Source organism: Homo sapiens, chromosome 2 (assembly GCF_000001405.40).
Source record: "Homo sapiens chromosome 2, GRCh38.p14 Primary Assembly".
Taxonomy (NCBI): domain Eukaryota; kingdom Metazoa; phylum Chordata; class Mammalia; order Primates; family Hominidae; genus Homo; species Homo sapiens.
In genome coordinates this window covers 38,498,686-38,517,026 of record NC_000002.12, presented here as the reverse complement: position 1 = coordinate 38,517,026, position 18,341 = coordinate 38,498,686, and the positions used below count along the sequence as shown (strand labels likewise).

At 44.3% G+C, this 18,341-nt stretch overlaps 1 long non-coding RNA gene across 1 annotated transcript in view; it reads left to right on the top strand.

Annotated features, from left to right (window-relative positions):
- The first annotated feature begins 1,286 nt into the window (after positions 1–1,286).
- LINC02613 (long intergenic non-protein coding RNA 2613) overlaps positions 1,287–18,341 on the top strand; it is a 57,104-nt gene continuing 40,049 nt past the window's right edge. The window contains exon 1 of the long non-coding RNA NR_110259.1: positions 1,287–1,580. This is a non-coding gene — a long non-coding RNA (long intergenic non-protein coding RNA 2613). The remainder of the gene's footprint in view (positions 1,581–18,341) is intronic.

Below are 18,341 nucleotides of genomic sequence, written 5' to 3'. Positions count from 1 at the left end.
GCCTCAGCCTCCCAAGTAGCTGGGACTACAGGCACCTGCCACCATGCCTAAAAACTTATGTATTTTTAATAGAGATGGGGTTTCACCGCATTAGCCAGGATGGTCTCAATCTCCTGACCTCGAGATCCGCCCTCCTCGGCCTCCCAAAGTGCTGGGATTACAGACGTGAGCCACTGCGCCTGGCTGACATTATTTTTATAAGTAGTTTTAGTCCACAGAAAAATTAACCAGAAGATACAGAAATATCTCACATCCTCCCTGCCCCCCACATACATAGCCACCCTCTTATCAACGTCCCTTCCACCAGAGTGGTACATTTGTCACAATTGATAACCCACATTGACACATCATTATCACCCAAAGTCCATAGTTTACATTAGGGTTTATTCTTGGTGTTGTACCTTCTGTTAGTTTGGACAAATTTATAATGGCATGTATCTTCCATTAAACCATCATACAGAGTATTTTCACTGGCCTAAGAATCTTCTGTGCTCTGCCTATTCATACCTCCCTCCACCCTAACCCCTAGCAACTACTGATCTTTCTACCATTTCCATCGTTTTGCCTTTTCCATGTTGTCATATAGTTGGAATCATACAGTATGTAGCCTTTTCAAATTGGCTTCTTTCACTTAGTGATATGCATTTAAGTTTCCTCCATGTATTTTCATGGCTTGATAGCTCATTTCTTTTCAGTGCTGAGTAATATTCCATTGACTAAAAGTACCACAGTTTCATTTATCCGTTCTCCTACTGAAGGAAATCTTGGTTGCTTCTAAGTTTTGGCAATTTTGAATAAAGCTGCTATAAACACCCATGTGCAGGTTTTTGTGTGGACATACATTTTTGACTTCTTTGGGTTAAAACCAAAGAGTATGATTACTACATCGTATGGTAACAGCATGTTTAGTTTTGTAAGAAATTGCCAATCTATCCTTAAAGTGGCCGTACTGCTTTGCATTCCTATTAGCAATGAATGAGAGTTCCTTTTGCTCCACATCCTTGCCAGCATGTGATGTTGTCAGTTGTCAGGTTCATGACTACACCACATGTTATGTTGAGTCCGAAGGGAGTGGCTGGATGAGCAGAAAGAACACTCGGGGGGCTGTAGGCAGTTGAAAGATGACTTTATTCAGCAGCAGCTCTTATCAACAGCTTTCTCTCACACTGTCCGCCCTGTCTCGGCTGCTTAGTCTGGCGGCTCCCACACACAGCTGCGTGGCCGGCTCTCCCTTGCCTTCAGGGTGAGCAGCTTAACTCTTTCTCTCTCTGGGAGTGAGTGAGCTGAGCTGTGTCCTGGCTCAGACGGACAGCTCTGACTCGCTCGCTCTTTCTCTGGGCGCCTGCGCGCCTACCATGACAAGCCATTTCAGGCGAGCCGAGCCCCAGAGCCATGTGTCTGGTGCGCAGTGTTAACAGGGCAGTTATACCTTTTACAGACAACTGTGGCTCCAAGTCAAGTATGAACTTACACAAACAGTTTATATAACAAGTGGAGGTGTGCGCCTGCGTGCCAAACTTGCTGACTCGTGCAGGCCTGGATACCCGCCTCAGACTATTCCTTGACCGAAGCACTTCCAGGTACCTTACATCAGTGTTCCGGATTTTGGCTGTTCTAAAGGGTGTGTAGGTGGTATCTCATTGTTGATTTAATTTGCATTTTCCTGATGACATACGTCGTGGGGCATCTTTCGTATGCTTATTTGCCACCTGTATGTCTTTTGCGGTGAACTCTCTCTTAATGTCTTGGCCCATTTTTAATTGGTTGTTTGTTTCCTTACTGTTGAGTTTTAAGAGTTTTATTTATGTTTTGGATAATAGCCCCATATCAAATACATCTTTGGCAAATATTTTCTCCCAGTGTGTGGCTTTTCTTTATATTATCATAAGTATTTTTTACAGAACAGAAGTTTCTAATTTTAATGAAGTCTAGCTTATCAGTGTTTTCTTTCATAGATCATGCCTTTGGTGTCATGTCAAAAAAGTCATAACCTGGCTGGGTGCAGTGACTCACACTTGTAATCCCAGCACTTTGGAAGGCCAAGGCGGGAGGATGACTTGAGCCCAGGAGTTCAAGACAGCCTGGCAATATAGAGAGACTGTATCTCTACAGATAATTTCAGAAAAATTAGCCAGGCATAGTGGCATGTGCCTGTAGTTCCAGCTACACAGGAAGCTAAGGTGGGAGGATTACTTGAGCCTGGGAGGTCAAGGCTGCAGTGAGCTGTGGTTGCGCCACTGCACTCCAGCCCGGGTGACAGAGACCTTGTCTCAAAAAAATAATAATAATAAAAAACCAAACCAAAACAAAAAGTCACTACCAAAGCCAAGGTTATCTAGATTTTCTCCTATGTTATTTTCTAAGAGTCTTACCATTTTGTGTTTTACATTTAGGTCTGTGATCTATTTAGAGTTAATTTTTTTGTGAAGGGTATGAGATCTATGTCTTCATTCCTTTTTTTTGAATATAAATGTCTCGTCCCAGTACCATTTTTTGAAAAGATTTTCTTTTCCCCATTGTATTGCCTTTGTTTTTTTGGTCAAACATCAATTGACTATATTTATATGGGTCTGTTTCTGAGATCTCTATTCTGTTTCATTGATCTCTTTGTTTATCCTTTTTTTTTTTTCTTTTTTTTTGAGATGGAGTCTCGCTGTGTCACCCAGGCTGGAGTGCAGTGGTGCAATCTCGGCTCCCTGCAACCTCCACATCCTGGGTTCAAGCAGTTCTCCTGCCTCAGCCTCCTGAGTAGCTGGGATTACAGGTGTGTACCACCAGGCCAAGCTAATTTTTGTATTTTTAGTAGAGACAGGGTTTCACCATGTTGGCCAGGCTGGTCTCGAACTCCTGACCTCAAGTGATCCACCCGTCTTGGCCTCCCAAAGTGCTGGGATTACAGGCGTGAGCCACCGCGCCCAGCTCTTCGTTTATTGTTTTGCCAATGCCACACTGTCTTGGTTGCTGCAACTTTATAGTAACTCCTGCAGTCAGATAGTGTCGGTCCTCTAACTTTGTTCTCCTCCTTCAATATTGTGTATCCTACCACTATTTTCAAGGAAGTTTAAAAAAAAATCCATCTTTTTTTTTTCCAACTCTTGCTATCACCCTCACACTGTGTAGTAACTCAGCCTCTGTCTCTTACTCACTGGGTGATCTTAGCTGTTCTCTGCTTTTGTGAAGGAAAGAATCTACGTCAGGATATTTATAATTATAACTTATGTAAAAAATCCAAACACACTAGAAAAAGTCTAAAGCTCAAGAAACAAATATTAGCCATTACCCTCAGTTTCTGACTTGGGGATCACCCAAGCGAGTAAAAGACAGAGGCTGAGTGTGAAGGAAAGAATCTATGTCAGGATATTTATAATTATAACTTATATAAAAAATCCAAACACACTCAGAAAAAGTTTAAATCTCAAGAAACAAATATTAGCCCTGGGTCCTGGTTTGTTATTACCTTTAGGGGTGATGTGGAGCTAGTGGCCAGGCTTTCCTTTCTTCCTTTCTAAAAGGCAGGGATTAACCTGGACTATCTCAAACATTGCTCACAGCTGGGAGATCATGACATTTCAACCCTGACCCAGCAACTGAGATTGGCTTCAGTTTTACGTTGGTTTATACAGAGGTCTGTTTCTACTCTTCTTCAGATTGTAATCTAGGTTTGGGACACCAAATATTCCATTTAAAACATCTAGGGCTGGGTGCTGTGGCTCACACCTGTAATCCCCACACTTTGGGAGGCCGAGGTGGGTGGATCGCCTGAGGTCAGGAGTTTGAGACCAGCTTAAACTTATATAATTATAACTTATATAACTGTATCCTGACTTAGAGCTGATCCTGACCACAGTGGAGCCTCTAGGATGCAGGTGAACACACAGCCAGGGGAACTAGGCATCCCAGCAGAAGATGAGTGTGTGAGCATGAATCCCTCCCTCTCTCTACACAGGGATGTACGCTTCACAAGGCCCTGAACCTTGCAGCCAGCCAGGGGGAAAAGCAGGGCTGGTAGCAGAATCTCTATTTCCCTAGGAAGAAAACTCTGGCTCTTAGAGGTCAAATGAATTTCCTATAGTCCTCTAGATAGGACTGTAAAATATCTGGCTTGAGTTCAGTGTTTTTTCACATAGCTTGGCAGGTCAAGAGAACCAGGGTCTCTTTCTGCATAAACCCAGGAAGGACCTGAATCACCAGCATCCCCTCAGTGAAGAAGAAGCCCTAGCTTGCACATGGGGTGGAGGAAGGTGAAACAAAGGACTCTCACCTGGAGCCAGCACAGAGGATCCTGTACTAGAGAAGGCCTGGCTCCCATGGATGTCCTGAGGCACAAATAACTCATGAGTCCTAGTCAGTCCCTGGGGGGAGTTTGTTAAATGGAATTCTGAAGTAAGCTGAATGATCTGAGCTAAACAGGACTAGACCTTGTTTGAGAATGGGTCTCTACAAATTTAGCTACTTCCCCATGCTTGCTTGTAGCTGGCAAGTTGCATTAAAAATTGTCTACTGATTGCTGTAACATCCATTCTCACTTACATGTTTGTATGTAAGTTCTTTCATTTTAAGAGGAGAGCTCACTGAAGGCCGCTGCCTGGGTGGTAGCAGTAGGCTGTTGGGCAGCAAAGGCTGGGGGTGGGGCCCAGCGGGCTGCTATTGCACCAGCCTTGCTCTGGAGAGCAACTGTTGGTTGTTGAGAAATGGTATGACAATTAGTGAGATGTCATTAGAGTATATAAAATATAAATGGCTATGAACACTAATTTTTGCAGTAGTTAGGGACTGAATGATAGTAAGATTTGCCAGGCACAGTGGCTCATGGTCGTAATCCTAGCACTTTGAAGGCTGAGACAGGAGGATCACTTAATTCCAGGAGTTTGAGGCCACCTGGGCAACATAGTGAGGCCCTGTCTCTACAAACTTTTTTTTTTTTTAATTAGCCAGATGTGGTGATGTGTGCCTGTAGTCCCAGCTATTTGGGAGGCTGAGGTGGGAGGATGGCTTCAGCCTATAAGGTGAAGACTGCAGTGAGCCAAAATCATGCCACTGCACCCCAGCCTAGGCTACAGCGCAAGACTCTGTCTCAAAAAAAAAAATTACTAGAATTATGAAGTAACTAGTGTGCAATTATATTGCAATTGTCTGTTACTTGTCCATAGCTAGACTATAAGGTACATTCAGGTGGGGTCCATCTTTGTCTTTTCACTGATGTCTCACTGTTTATAGAGTTAGGCATTTAAAAATTATTTGTTGAATTAAATTATTGAATGCAGTTGACGATAGAAATGAGTTAACTTTTAAAAATATTATCTTCTAGGCCAGGTGTGGTGGCTCACACCCGTAATCCCAGCACTTTGAGAGGCTGAGGCGGGGGGATTGCTTGAGCTCAGAAGTTTGAGACCAGCCTGGGCAACATGGCAAAACCCCCGTCTCTTGAAAAAAAAAAAAAAATCATCTTCTGGATAAATTAGTTTCACCTTAAATCCATTTTGTAACAAAACAGGGATAAGTATGTTAATGAATGAATGACTAAATAAGTCAATGATCAAAACAGTAAGTGAAACAAATAGGAAATAATACATCAGTAGCCTCTTGACCTGCCTTGGTGGAATGAGGCTCTGGGCATCTCCTGCTCTGAAGAGCATTCTGGGCTCCCCAGAGGTCTGTAGTAGTCCATCCCAATTTTGTTGGAGACCAGAGGAATGAGACCAAGGCCATCATCTCAATTCACACAGGAACCACTTGGAGTTGCTCAGCCTTGCAGCCCAGATTGCATCATGGAACCAAACTAGTCCTGCCAGAATGATGGTGTGAGCAATGTCTGCCTTCTCGGGGACCCTGATTTTTCTTCCTTCCTATGGAGGCTGGAACCATGCTCCATGTCCTAGCACATATTCTCATTTGGGTCCCTCATAGGACTGACCATGTCCCATGTGTCAGCTTTTCCCTCGACTTTCTTCTTCCAAGGCCTCTTCCCATGGTGTCCTGCTCTGCTCTGGGGACAGTGTGTGGGATCTGGTTAACTTGGTGGAAAGGAACAGCCTCCAAGAGACGGAAACTCTCATGGCAAGAATGTCAGACATAACTAAAAGCCAGAGTTGAAGGCATTTCTGGAGGATGGGCCACCGATTCCTTCCTTCTATGGGCCACTTGAGTCACTTGTGTACATGCTAGAGACCAGGCCAGGTGTAGTAGAAGATTAAACACAGGGCCGGGCGTGGTGGCTCATGCCTGTAATCCTAGCACTTTGGGAGGCTGAGGCGGGCGGGTCACGAGGTCAGGAGATCGAGACCATCCTGGTTAACACAGTGAAACCCCGTCTCTACTAAAAACACAAAAAATTAGCCAGGCATGGTGGTGGGCGCCTGTAGTACCAGCTACTCGGGAGGCTGAGGTGAGAGAATGGCTTGAACCCGGGAGGCGGAGCTTGCAGTGAGCCAAGATCACACCACTGTACCTCCAGCCGGGGTGACAGAGTGAGACTCCATCTCAAAAACAAAAAAACAAACAAACAAAAATCCCAAAAAACAGCAACAAGAAGATTAAACACAGACACAGACCTTTTCCCTCCAGAACCTTAGAAATGAATGAAGGGACCAGTAGCTGCACAGATCATTCTAGTAAAGACAATATATAATAAGAGAAATCATTTTTTGTTTAAATATTGATTTGCTGATTCCTATAAAAATGCTTCTTTTGCCCTTTTTTTCTTCCCATGAGCCTTTCTTGCCTCTTCAATGTTATCTGATTGTACTTTCCAGCTCATGGACATTACACAAAATGGCAGTTCCTAGGAAAAGCGAGAATAGAAAAAAAACCATAGCTTTTCAGTCAATTCTTGTTAACACTAGAGCCCGGAAGGGTCATGTAGGTCAATGAACTGTTGCTCCTGGCAATTGAAATAATTTATCCTCTGAAAAAGAGAGATCAGGACTGCCCCAGAGCTAAGTTAAAAACTGTGGGGTTAAGGCAGGGCACAGTAATGCCTGTAATATCTGTGCTTTGGAAGGCTGAGGCAGGAGGAGTGTCTGAGGCCAGGAGTTAGAGACCAGCCTGGGCAACATAGTGAGACATGACTGTGTCACTGTACTCCAGCCTGGACGACAGAGTGAGACTCTGTCTCTAAAAACAGAATAAAACAAAACAAAAAACCTGTGGGACTACCTGAGGTCTAGGACTAGATTGTCAAGACAGGAGAAGGGTAATGACCTGGGCAGCACAGCAAAGGCTTCTGGAAAGGACACACACAGCTTCTTATCTCTGCTCTCTATATCCTGCTCATGACTTCAAGACGTCATGGTGCTTTTCTGAACCTCAGTCTCTTCATTTGCAGCATGGCTATAATATCCATACTATCCACCTCACAGGGTTCTCGTAAGAATAGAATGAGTTACCATATATACATAAACTCCATCCTCAGCACACAACACAGGACTTAGTGGCTGCCTCTCATTTCAGGAGAACTCACATTTCTTAGTTCACTGGGAAAAGGTTGAGATTGGCAAGTATCCCACATCCATTAGAGAGGTGACTCAGCGATTATCCTTCTAAGGATTAAAAACAGCTTTATCAGGCAGCCACTCTGCTGCGATGTACATGATTTAATTCAATTTAATCATCTCAACAACCCTACAAGGAAGGTATTTTCTTCCCCCTTAGACAGAGGATGAAATCAAAGTTCAGAAGAGTTGATTACACCCTGCCTGAATTCACCTAGGGATTTGAACTCAGATCTGTCTGACTTCAGGTTCATTTACTTTTTACTCTGCCCCATTGGCTTTCAGCTTTGATAGATATGGAAATAAAACCTAGCCCTTCACATCAGGCCATTATCCTATACACCCAAGTAGGCCATGGAGAAATGGCCTTTCTCTAAGGGGAAATGGGATCTCTGGAAAAGTCACCTTGCTTCTGGGCCATTGCATGGAGACAGCTGGGGTCCAGTGAGATGCCAGTGCCCAACAAATGGGCACCAGCTCTTCATCCTCCTCTCTCTGTCTCTCTTTCTCTAGCATCACATAGGATGACCTCAAAGCCAACAGCTATGGAATGCATCTTCCTGGCCTCACAGGTCTCTTGAAGCTGCCGGCTGCCCCCAGCAATCAAGCCAGATGGATGTTTTGGGTGGAAGCCTAGCTGGGAAACAGCTTGCGGGCTGAGCAGGGGTGTTCAGTGGGCAAGGGGCAGGCTTCACGCTAACTCTTTCTCCATGCAGTGCTGCTTCCTCCTTCTGGCCTGCTTTCTGATGTCCCCAAGGCCTTTTCAAGTAGGAGTGGAAGGACAGAGTGGATGTGGCCAATCAAGAAACAGCATCCTCTAATCAGGTCACCCAGGCAGCCCCTCATCTAACCCAGCTGGCTCTGAGCCCTTTGCCTGGGGATCATTCTGTTTTGTAACAGCAAGGCTGACCTCAAGCGAGGCCACTTGGTCTGGATCTTTGATCTAAACAAGCACGAGGGCTTTCTCTCTGGAGACTTCTGTCTTGTTGGCAGGTCTCCAGAAGGGGGCGTTGCTGTTGCATGTGTCAATAGGATAGTAAGATTTAGGAACAAGCTGCAGTCGTTTAGGCAAGGGAGGTTGCGAGTTAGTCCTTTGCTCGGACTGCTTTTGTCACCAAGGGTAAGTGCTTGCTGATGACTTTTGCTCCGGTACAGAAGTATCTAAACTTTCCAGAGATGTGTAAAAGAGAGCCTTATAAAATTTAGGAGAACACATCAAAGTTACTAGATAGAAGGTCATTATACAAAAATTAACTTGCATTTTAAGGTACCAACCACAGTTAGAAAATAAAAAAATTTAAAGCTAACACCTATAAAAGAAACAAAAGCTATAAGGTACCAGAAATATATACATGATCTTTATGAAGAAAATTATAAAACTTTACTTGTTTAGGTATTCTTTTTGTTTTGTTTTGTTTTTGTTCTTAGGGTTTTTTAGAGACAAGGTCTCTCTCTGTTGCCCAGGCTAGGGTGCAGTTGGCACCATCATAGCTCACTGCAGCCTTGAATTCTTGGACTCAAGCAATCCTCCTGCTTCAGATTCCCAAGTAACTGGGACTACAGGTGGATGACACCACACCTGGCTAATTTTTTTTTTTTTTTTGTAAAATAGGATCTCACTATGTTGCCCAGCCTGGTCTCGAACTTCTGGCCTCAAGTGATCCTCCTGCCTTGGCCTCCCAAAGTGCTGTGATTACAGATGTGAACCACTGTGCCTGGCCTAGGTATTCTTTAATAGATAGATAAGATGTATTTATGATATGAAGATACAGTGTCATAAATTTCTTTTTTTTTTTTTTTTTGAGATGGAGTCTCACTCTGTTGCCCAGGCTGGAGTGTAGTGGCATGATCTCGGCTTACTGCAAGCTCTGCCTCCTGGATTCATGCCATTCTCCTGCCTCAGCCTCCCGAGTAGCTGGGACTACAGGTGCCCACCGGCACGCCCGGCTAATTTTTTGTATTTTTTAATAGAGACAGGGTTTCACTGTGTTAGCCAGGATAGTCTCGATCTCGTGATCTCGTGATCTGCCTGCCTTGGCCTCCCAAAGTGCTGGGATTACAGGTGTGAGCCACTGCACCCAGCCTTGGTGTCATAAATTTCAATTCTTCCCAAATTATAAATTCTTTGTGACTCCAACCAAATTCACATAGGATTTTTTTTATGGGTCTAGACAGGATGATTCTAACATTGTTCTGAAAAAGGACCAAAAATAGTTAAGAAATTTTGAAAAACACAAGATGAGCGACTCACCCTATAAGACTATAAGACCTGTTAAATTAAGACTGTGTGGCTTTAGCCAAGAAAGAGACAAACAGACCAATAGAACAGAATAGAGACTCGCAAAACAGATCTCTGTACTTATGAAGACTTGATATATGACAGAGGTGACATGCAGATGAGTAGAGAAAGAATAAATTATTCAATTAGTGGTACTGGGAATTTGATAGCCCATATTGAAAACGAACCCAACAATATGAAATTTTAGGTGAAAAAAATTTTAAGTAAAACTTTCAGACTTCTAGGAGAAAATACAGAAAAACTTCCAAGATCACAGTGTAGGCAATAATATCATAAAACAGAAATAAGTACAAGCACTAAAGAAAAACATTCGTAAATTTATGTGCATTAAAATGTAAAGCTTTGGCTGGGCATGGTGGTTCATGCCTATAATCTCAGCACTTTGGCAGGCCAAGGTGGGAGGGTCACTTGAGCCCAGGAGTTTAAGACCAGTCTAGGAAACCTAGTGAGACCCCATCTCTACAAAAGATAGGAAAAAATAGTCGAGCATTGTGTTAGTCCATTCTCATACTGCTATAAAGAACTATCTGAGACTGGGGAATTTATAAAGAAAAGAGATTTAATTGACACACAGTTCTGCAGACTGTACAGGAGGTATGGCTGGGGAGGCCTTAGGAAATTTACAATCATGATGGAAGGTAAAGGGGAAGCAAGCACATCTTCACATGGTGGCAGGAGAGAGAGAGAGAGAAGGGGGAAGTGCTACACACTTTTAAACAACCAGATCTTGTGAGAAGTCCATCATGAAACAGCACTAGGGAGATGGTGCTAAACCATTAGAAACCACCCCCATGAGCCAATCACCTTCCACCAGGCCCCTCCTCCAACACATGGGGATTACAATCAACATGAGATTTTGGTGGGGACACAGAGCCAAACCATATCAGGCATGGTGGTGTGCCCCTGTAGTCCCAGCTTCTTAGGAGACTGAGGTGGGAGGATTGCTTGAGCCAGGGAGGTTGAGGCAGCAGTGATCTGTAATCATGCCACTGCACTCCAGCCTGGGTGACAGAGACCCTGTCTCAAACAAACAAACAAACAAAAAAAGGTAAAGCTTCTTTTCCTCAAAATATGCCATAAAGTAAAATAAAAAACAGACAAACACAAACTGGGAAAAGATATTTGCAATGTGGCAGTCAGGGGAGTGTGCTGTTCGGCTCCTTTCAACAGAGACACACTTATGAGGTGTGATTGGCTGACAGCCTGGAGTTGCCTCATCTTCAGGATCCACCACTGTGTTCTAGCAGAGGCTCTGCTAGCTCTGACCGATCCTAGCCAATGTCTGAGTACGGAGGGAGTACCAGAGTTGAGTCATTCCTGCTCAGTGTGGGACTTCTTTAAAAGGCAAACTTTCTTCTGAGGCTCCCCATTAGCCTGGCTGACTTTCTCAGAGCTGCCCTGCAGATGGAGGCTTTTCCCACCCAATTCTCTTTCCTCTTCTTCCCTTTCACAGGCATAAAGACCTGCACTGGGGTCTGAAAACTCTCCCCAACCATGCCTGCTCTTTTCCCCATTATCCTGCGCAGGTATTACCCCCCATTATTGTCTTGCACTTCCAATTTTGTTTTGATTTCTGCTTCTTGGAAGACTTGAATTAATATAGCCTATAAAGAACAAAAGACTAGTATCCAAGCTGGGCATGGTGGCTCACGCCGTAATCCTAGAGCTTTGGGAGGCTGAGGTGGGAGGATTGCTTAAGGCCAGGAGTTTGAGACCAGCCTGGGCCAAATAGCAACACCTCATCTCTACAAAACAAAAAAAGGACTATTATTCAGAATGTATATGATTTGGAATCATATGCATTCTATAGGATTCAAATCATATAGACAAATTTATATACAATCCAAACTGTATATTGATTAGAAAAAGATAAATGGCTCAATAAGAAATTAGGCAAAAGATATGAACAGACAATTCACAGAAGATGAAATCTAAAAGGCCAATAAATACATGAAAAGATGCCAATCTCAGTAGTAGCCGGGGAAATGTAAATTAAAGCAAAGCAAGGTACCATTTTATATCTCTAAGATTGGTAAAAAAACAACCATTTGCCAAAGTATTTGAGAAGATACAGAGCAACATGTACACTGTGGGCGGAAGTATAAATTGATGCAACCATTTTGGATAGTAATTTAGTAATTACTTATCTAGTAAAGATGTGGAAGTACTTAACCATCAATTCCACTTAAGAGATTCTCCCATGTGTACATAAGATATGCAGAAGAATATATTATAGAATTATGTGAAAGAAGAAAAAACCCAGAACAACCTAAATATTCACTAAGAGAAAAACAAATAAGTAAATATCACATAACTGTGAAAAGAAACCAAAACAAAAATTTCCAGGAAATTTTTGAAAAGGAAGTGAAAAGTTGACTTTGGCTGTGAAAGTCCTATAATATTTTTTAAATTTTTTTTTAAAGTAAAAAGAGAGGAAGAGAGAGAAAGAGATACTTGTTTATCTTCTAGTCTACAGAAACTAAATTAACAAGTACTTTTGATATGATTTGTATTGGCCACACTAACTCCTGAAGGAGACAAACTATGATCTTGTCAATCCTTCATCTATCAAAACAGATGGGGAAGAGTCGTTTGCTAACAATTTATTTTCTTTTCTTTCTTTCTTTCTTTTTTTTCTCATCAGTCTTGACAACTGTTGAAGGTGCTAGAAGTTTGGTGGTGCTGTCTTAAATGTCTGGCCTGAGTGGGCCTGGCATTCAGAAATACAGATGAGAAGGGGGAAGGGGAGGTGGGTTACGGCGGGTGGAGCAGGAAGGAATGTGGGCCCCCCTAGTGTGTGTCCCTGCTGGGGAACTGCCTCGCCACCCAGGCTTCATCTAGCATAAGGCTGCCAGCCACCTGCTGCCTCATGTGTGCTGTCCTGGAATTCTTATTACATCTCAGAAATCCTGCTCTGGCCAGTGATGAAATTACAGACAGCAGAGTCCAGCCTTGCCTATGTGACCTGAGAGGGGAAACCTCTCTTCTGGATCCCAGTTTTGGAAAATCTTCCAGGCCTCTCTGCCAGGGCCTTGTCCTCAGTTGTCTTCCTGATCTGGGACCAACTGAGAAGCCCTGAACTGTTTACTGCCCCCTCCTTTCCCCCTGGAATGCATCTATTGACTGTCACCACACCCTCCCATCAAGCCAGCAACAGGTAATAAGCATCAATAAAGAGCAAGACCTGGGGCTGGCATTGAACACAAGCAACTAGATCAGATCTGGCTTCCAAAGAGGTTGAATGAAACGAAGTGTTATTTTATTTTTTAAATCTTATTCAGAAAATATTTATTGAACCGTACAATGTACTTGGGGGGAAACATGGAAAAAGATTCATACCTTGTTCTCAGTGTTGAAAGCTCAGAGCAGAAGATAGACAAGAGAATGGATGATGACTTTTGGATGAGATAAGGGCTAGGACAGGTAAGAGCAAGGTACAATGGCACCTACTGGAGACCCCAGGAGACCTAAACCTGAGAGCTGGGGAAAGCTTCCTGGGGAAATGACATCTCAACTGAGACCTGAAGGAACAGGACTTAGCCAGGTGCTCTGTGTAGGGGTTGAGGCAGAGTGGGGGTGACTGTTAGGAAATAGAGATTGAAATTATAGACAGAGCAAATAGCAAGGGCAAAAGGAAAGAGCAAGGCCAAGAATGATTTGGAGGGGGAAATACTGGAGTCAAGGAAACTAGGTAAGAGATTGGGAATGAAAGGCATCCTTTGCTTCAGGGAGTCTATGGGAAGAGGCTTTCTTCTTCTCTCTCCCCTTCTCTTTATTTTCTCCTTCTCTCTCTTTTGTTTTCCCCCTCATTAAATACTTTGTGATTCTTCTATGCATTTAGGAGTGTGTTGGTGACTCCAAATGAAGGAGATGGTGGCAGTGGTATTGGGGTAGGAAGTGGTGTGTGGTAGGTAGAATAATGGCCCCCCTAAAGGCGTTCATTTCCTAATCCCCAGAACATGTGAAAATGTTACTTTATAAGACTTGGATTAAGTTAAGGATCTTGAGATGGGGAGGTTATCCTTGATTATCTGGGTGGGCCCAAGGTAATCACAAGAATCCTTAAAAGATGGAAGAAGAGAGAACTTTGTTGAAACTGTAGGGGCCACGGGAAAATTCCCCTTCACTCTCTGAAGGTTTGCTGAAAAATCAACTCACAAATGGCAGATTACTTGGAGAAAAGGCATATAAACATATTTAAGGCTTATTTATTTAAGGCTCTATGTATAACACAAGAGCCTTCAGAATGAAGACCCAAAGATACAGGGGAAATTGTCCATGTTTATGCTTAGGTTCAGAAAAGTATGGACAGCCATGTAGAAATATGATTGGACAAAAAGATTATGATCTAATGCTAATGTAATTTCCTCATGGGTTCTTCTTGCCTGCTGCCCAGAAAAGCCAGTTCACTGAGAACAGCAGGTGTTGCAGCAAAGAAAGAGTTCACTAATCACAGGGCCAGTCAAGCAGAAGGACGGAAGATAATTCTCAAGTCCACCTCCCTGAGAACTCAGAGGCTAGGGTTTTTTAAGGGTAGTTTGGTAGAGGCAGAGCTACGGAATGGGTATGCTGATTGGTTGGGTTGGGAAGGAAATCACAGAGGGTTGAAGCTGTCTTCTTGTGCTGAGTCAGTTCCTGGGTAGGGGGTCACAAGACCAATTGAGACAGTTTCTTGGTAATGGGTTAACTGGTCTGGATGGCACCAGCTGGTTCATCAAAATGAAAGGTCTGAAAGATACCCTCAAACACCAATTTTAGGTTTTACAATAGTTATGTTATCTATAGGAGCAATTGAAGAGGTTACAAATCTTGTGACTTTTGCTTCTGAGGCTGCTTCTGAGACCTTCATTTTGGGATATTATTTTCTGGGCCCCAACAATGCTCTGCTGTTTTCTTTGAAGCTGGAGGAAGGGGCCACAAGCCAAGGAATGCAGGTGGCCTCTGGAAGCTAGGGAAGGCAAGGAAGCAGATCCTTTTCTAAAGCCTCCAGAAGGACCACAGCCCTGCTGACATCTTGATTGTAGGAGTTTTGACCTTCAGAACTATAAGATAATAAACTTGTGTTGTTTTAATGCACTAAGTTTGTGGCAGTTTGTTACAGCAGCAATAGCAAACTATACGAGGTGAATAGGCTCCAGAGTGGTTTAGGAAATAATTTGATTAGAAGGAGGAGATGAGAGAAAGGCCTCCTTGGATTTCTGGGTCAGGCATTAAGGTGAATTGAGGTACCATTCCCTGAGCTAGGGCCCAATGGCGAGGGGATGGCGGGGAGGGCTGGTGATGGCATATTCACTTTTGGACATGTTGGGGTTGCAGTGTCCATGGGAGTTCAAGGTGAAGGTGTCCAGTAAGCACTTGTCTGTTGGGACAGGGGCTGGTCTGGAGGCTGAGGGTGTTCATGGTCATTGAAGTCACAGCCCAGGTGGTGGGGCCATGAGAGTGACATTGAGAGGAAAAGAGAGCTGGGGCCAGAGCCTGACATTTGAGGGAAGATCTCTTTGTAGGTCGGGAAATAGAGCAAAACATGCCTCTGCGGGATTGTTTTTTGCTTTGTAAACTTTTCAACCCTTGTATATTCTTTGCTCCCTGGTGTTTTTTCAAAACTTTATCTTGTGTACAAATGGGCAGATTTCGGTTCTCCACTCCTGGACTATCCCTCTCATTCCTGCTAGTGCCTTCCCGAATACAGAACGCCATTGAGGGGGGGATTTAAACTGTTTCTGGACTCCAGTTGCCTCTCTTGTGACCCTGCTTTCTTTCTTTCTTTCTTTTTTTTTTTTTTTTTTTTTTGAGACGGAGTCTTGCTCTGTTGCCCAGGCTGGAGTGCAGTGGCATGATCTCGGCTCACTGCAACCTCCTCTGCCTCCCAGGTTCAAGTGATTCTCCTGCCTCAGCCTCCCAAGTAGCTGGGATTACAGGTGCATGCCACCACTCCTGGCTAATTTCTGTAGTTTCAGTAGAGACGGGGTTTCACCATATTGGCCAGGCTGGTCTCGAACTCCTGACCTTGTGATCCACCCACCTCAGCCTCCCAAAGTGCTGGGATTACAGTCATGAGCCACTGTGCCCAGCACCTGACCCTGCCTTCTATGCTAGGCTCCTGCTCCCAAGCGTCCTCTGCAGAGGCTCACAAAGACAAGCCTCAGTGCTAGCTCATGATCCCAGCAATCTCCCTGCACGCCACTTCTCCCCACCCTTCTCTGTCCATGTCTTGACCTGTTCCTACCTACTTTTTCCTTGGGTTCTCCTACTCACATTTTGAGTCTTGTTGCTGGCCCCGTCCAGAGGAAGCAGCCTTCCTGACTCTGTACCTGGCATAGCAACCTTAGCTTAATTTTGCCATTTCAGGATTTGAGAACCCCAGGCCCACTCCCCAACTTTTGCACTTACTGTTCTCCCTGCCTAGAACGCACTTCTAGAAGGGACCTCTGAGTTGGCCTGACTCAACTTTCAAAGCAGTGTAGGATTTTTGTACACCAAAGGTAGTTTTGCTTTCTCTATCACATGGATTGTACACAACTGTTTACTTGTTTTCGTCTCTCTTCTTGATCACAAATTCCTTGTGAGCAGGGACCCTGGTTTATTCATCTCGTATCTTCAGCACCTAACATACCACGTGGTTCAATAAATTTTTCTGTTGGACAGAACCCTTCTAGACTGGATCATTATGTCTTCACTCTGACAGCGAGGTGAGCGTGCGTCGGAGGAAGATGTTTTCCTCGCCTGAGTCCTGACAGGCAGTGTACTAATTAGCAACAGGTGAATAGCAGCACGCAACCCACATGCTTCCCTTACATAACACGCAGTCTTCTCCTGCTCCTCGCTGTCTCCAAGCTTTGCACAAGCCCCGGTTGCCTGCTCCTCTGCACCAGAGGTTGCAGGGATCACGCATCTCTTGGCCTCTCTAACAGATACCTGTGCTTGGCCTCACATATCTGGCTCGACAACCTGAGCCAGGCAGCCAGCAGGAAGGAATCGCCTCTGTCCTGGAATGTCTTGGCAGGTCTGGAATCCAGTTAGGGAGAGTGCTAGTTGGAATGTTTGGCTGGGAGGAGCGAGGAGGCTAAGGGATAACTGCATAACTGAGTCTCCAGGGCTCTAAAATCCCATTTTTCCTGGGGTTAGGGAGGAGACTCAGGGTTGAGAAATGCAAGATAATTGAATTTGGAAAGGAAAAGGAGATGGAAAGCATGTGAGCAACCTAGCTGCTGCTGGCGGATCACATGCCGGCCTCTGAGCACTTGTTTCCAAAGGCAAGAGCCAGCTGGTGTAGGTCTTAAGGGTACTTCTCAGTTGCCTCAGACACACAGCTCAGGGGAAGTCAAATGCAGCCGGAGCCCCCCTCCCCACATCTCTGTGTACTGTTTTGCACTCCCCTCAACCTAGAAAAAGAAGGAAGACTGAGTTGATCAAATTACATGCTGGCCCTGCTGTACCTCCTCCTCACCCCCAAGGTTAAAATTGTGGATTCAGTAATATGCATAATAACCCCGGAAACATTGAGTTCTATGGCACAGAAACCTTGTGCATTTCTGCAAAGGCAGTTTAAATACAAAAGCCAAAAATAGACCCATAAATAGCACAAGGGTGAAATATTTAAGACTCTGATAGCTCAATGGGCCTGCCGTTTTGCTAAACAAGTGGTTCTCAAACGAGATCGCAAGAAGGGCTTATTAAAATACAGATTGCTGGCCCTACCCCTACAGATTCTGCTTCTGTAGGTCTGGGCCGGGCAGACCACTGGGTCAGGTTCTGAGATCCCCAGTGATGCTGATGTTGTTGGTCCAGGGAACCTTGCTTTGAGAACTGTCTTTTTTTTTTTTTTTTTTTTTTTTTAAACAGCTAAAGAAACTTATTTAGAGAGAAATACGTAAAACAAATAGACAGAAAAGCTGCTATGTGAAAACCGGGCCTCAGGGCAGTCACAAGCAGAAGCCTGCAGATACTTTACATTGTCCCTTGTGTGGTAGGGTAGGTCACCCTCTCCCAACGGCTTTTCCAAAGGGTACCCTGGGATTCACACCCTTTCCGCTTTGTGGCTCCTACAGTGCCCCTTCCCCACAGTGCCTACTGCATCCAAACTCTTGGTACACAGCTAAGGAAAGGTGAATCTAGGATGCAGTCCACCAAAGACTATGGGATTTAGAGTTTAGAAAGTTCAGCTTGTATAGGCTGGGGCGGGGGTGGCTCACGCCTGTAATCCCAGCACTTTGGGAGGCTGAGGCGGGTGGATCACCTGAGGCCAGGAGTTCGAGACCAGCCTGACCAATATGGTGAAACCCTGTCTCTACTAAAAATACAAAAAAAAAAAAAAAAAAAAAAAATTAGCCAGGCATGGTGGTGTGTGCCTGTAGTCCCAGCTACTTAGGAGGCTGAGACAGGAGAACTGATTGAACCCGGGAGATGGAGGTTGCAGTGAGCCAAAGTCACGCCACTGCACTCCAGCCCGGGCAACAGAATGAAACTCGATCTCAAAAAAAAAAAAAAGAAAAAGAAAGTTCAGCTTGTATCAACCAAAAATATCACCAAGTTATTTCCAAGCCTTTCTAGTT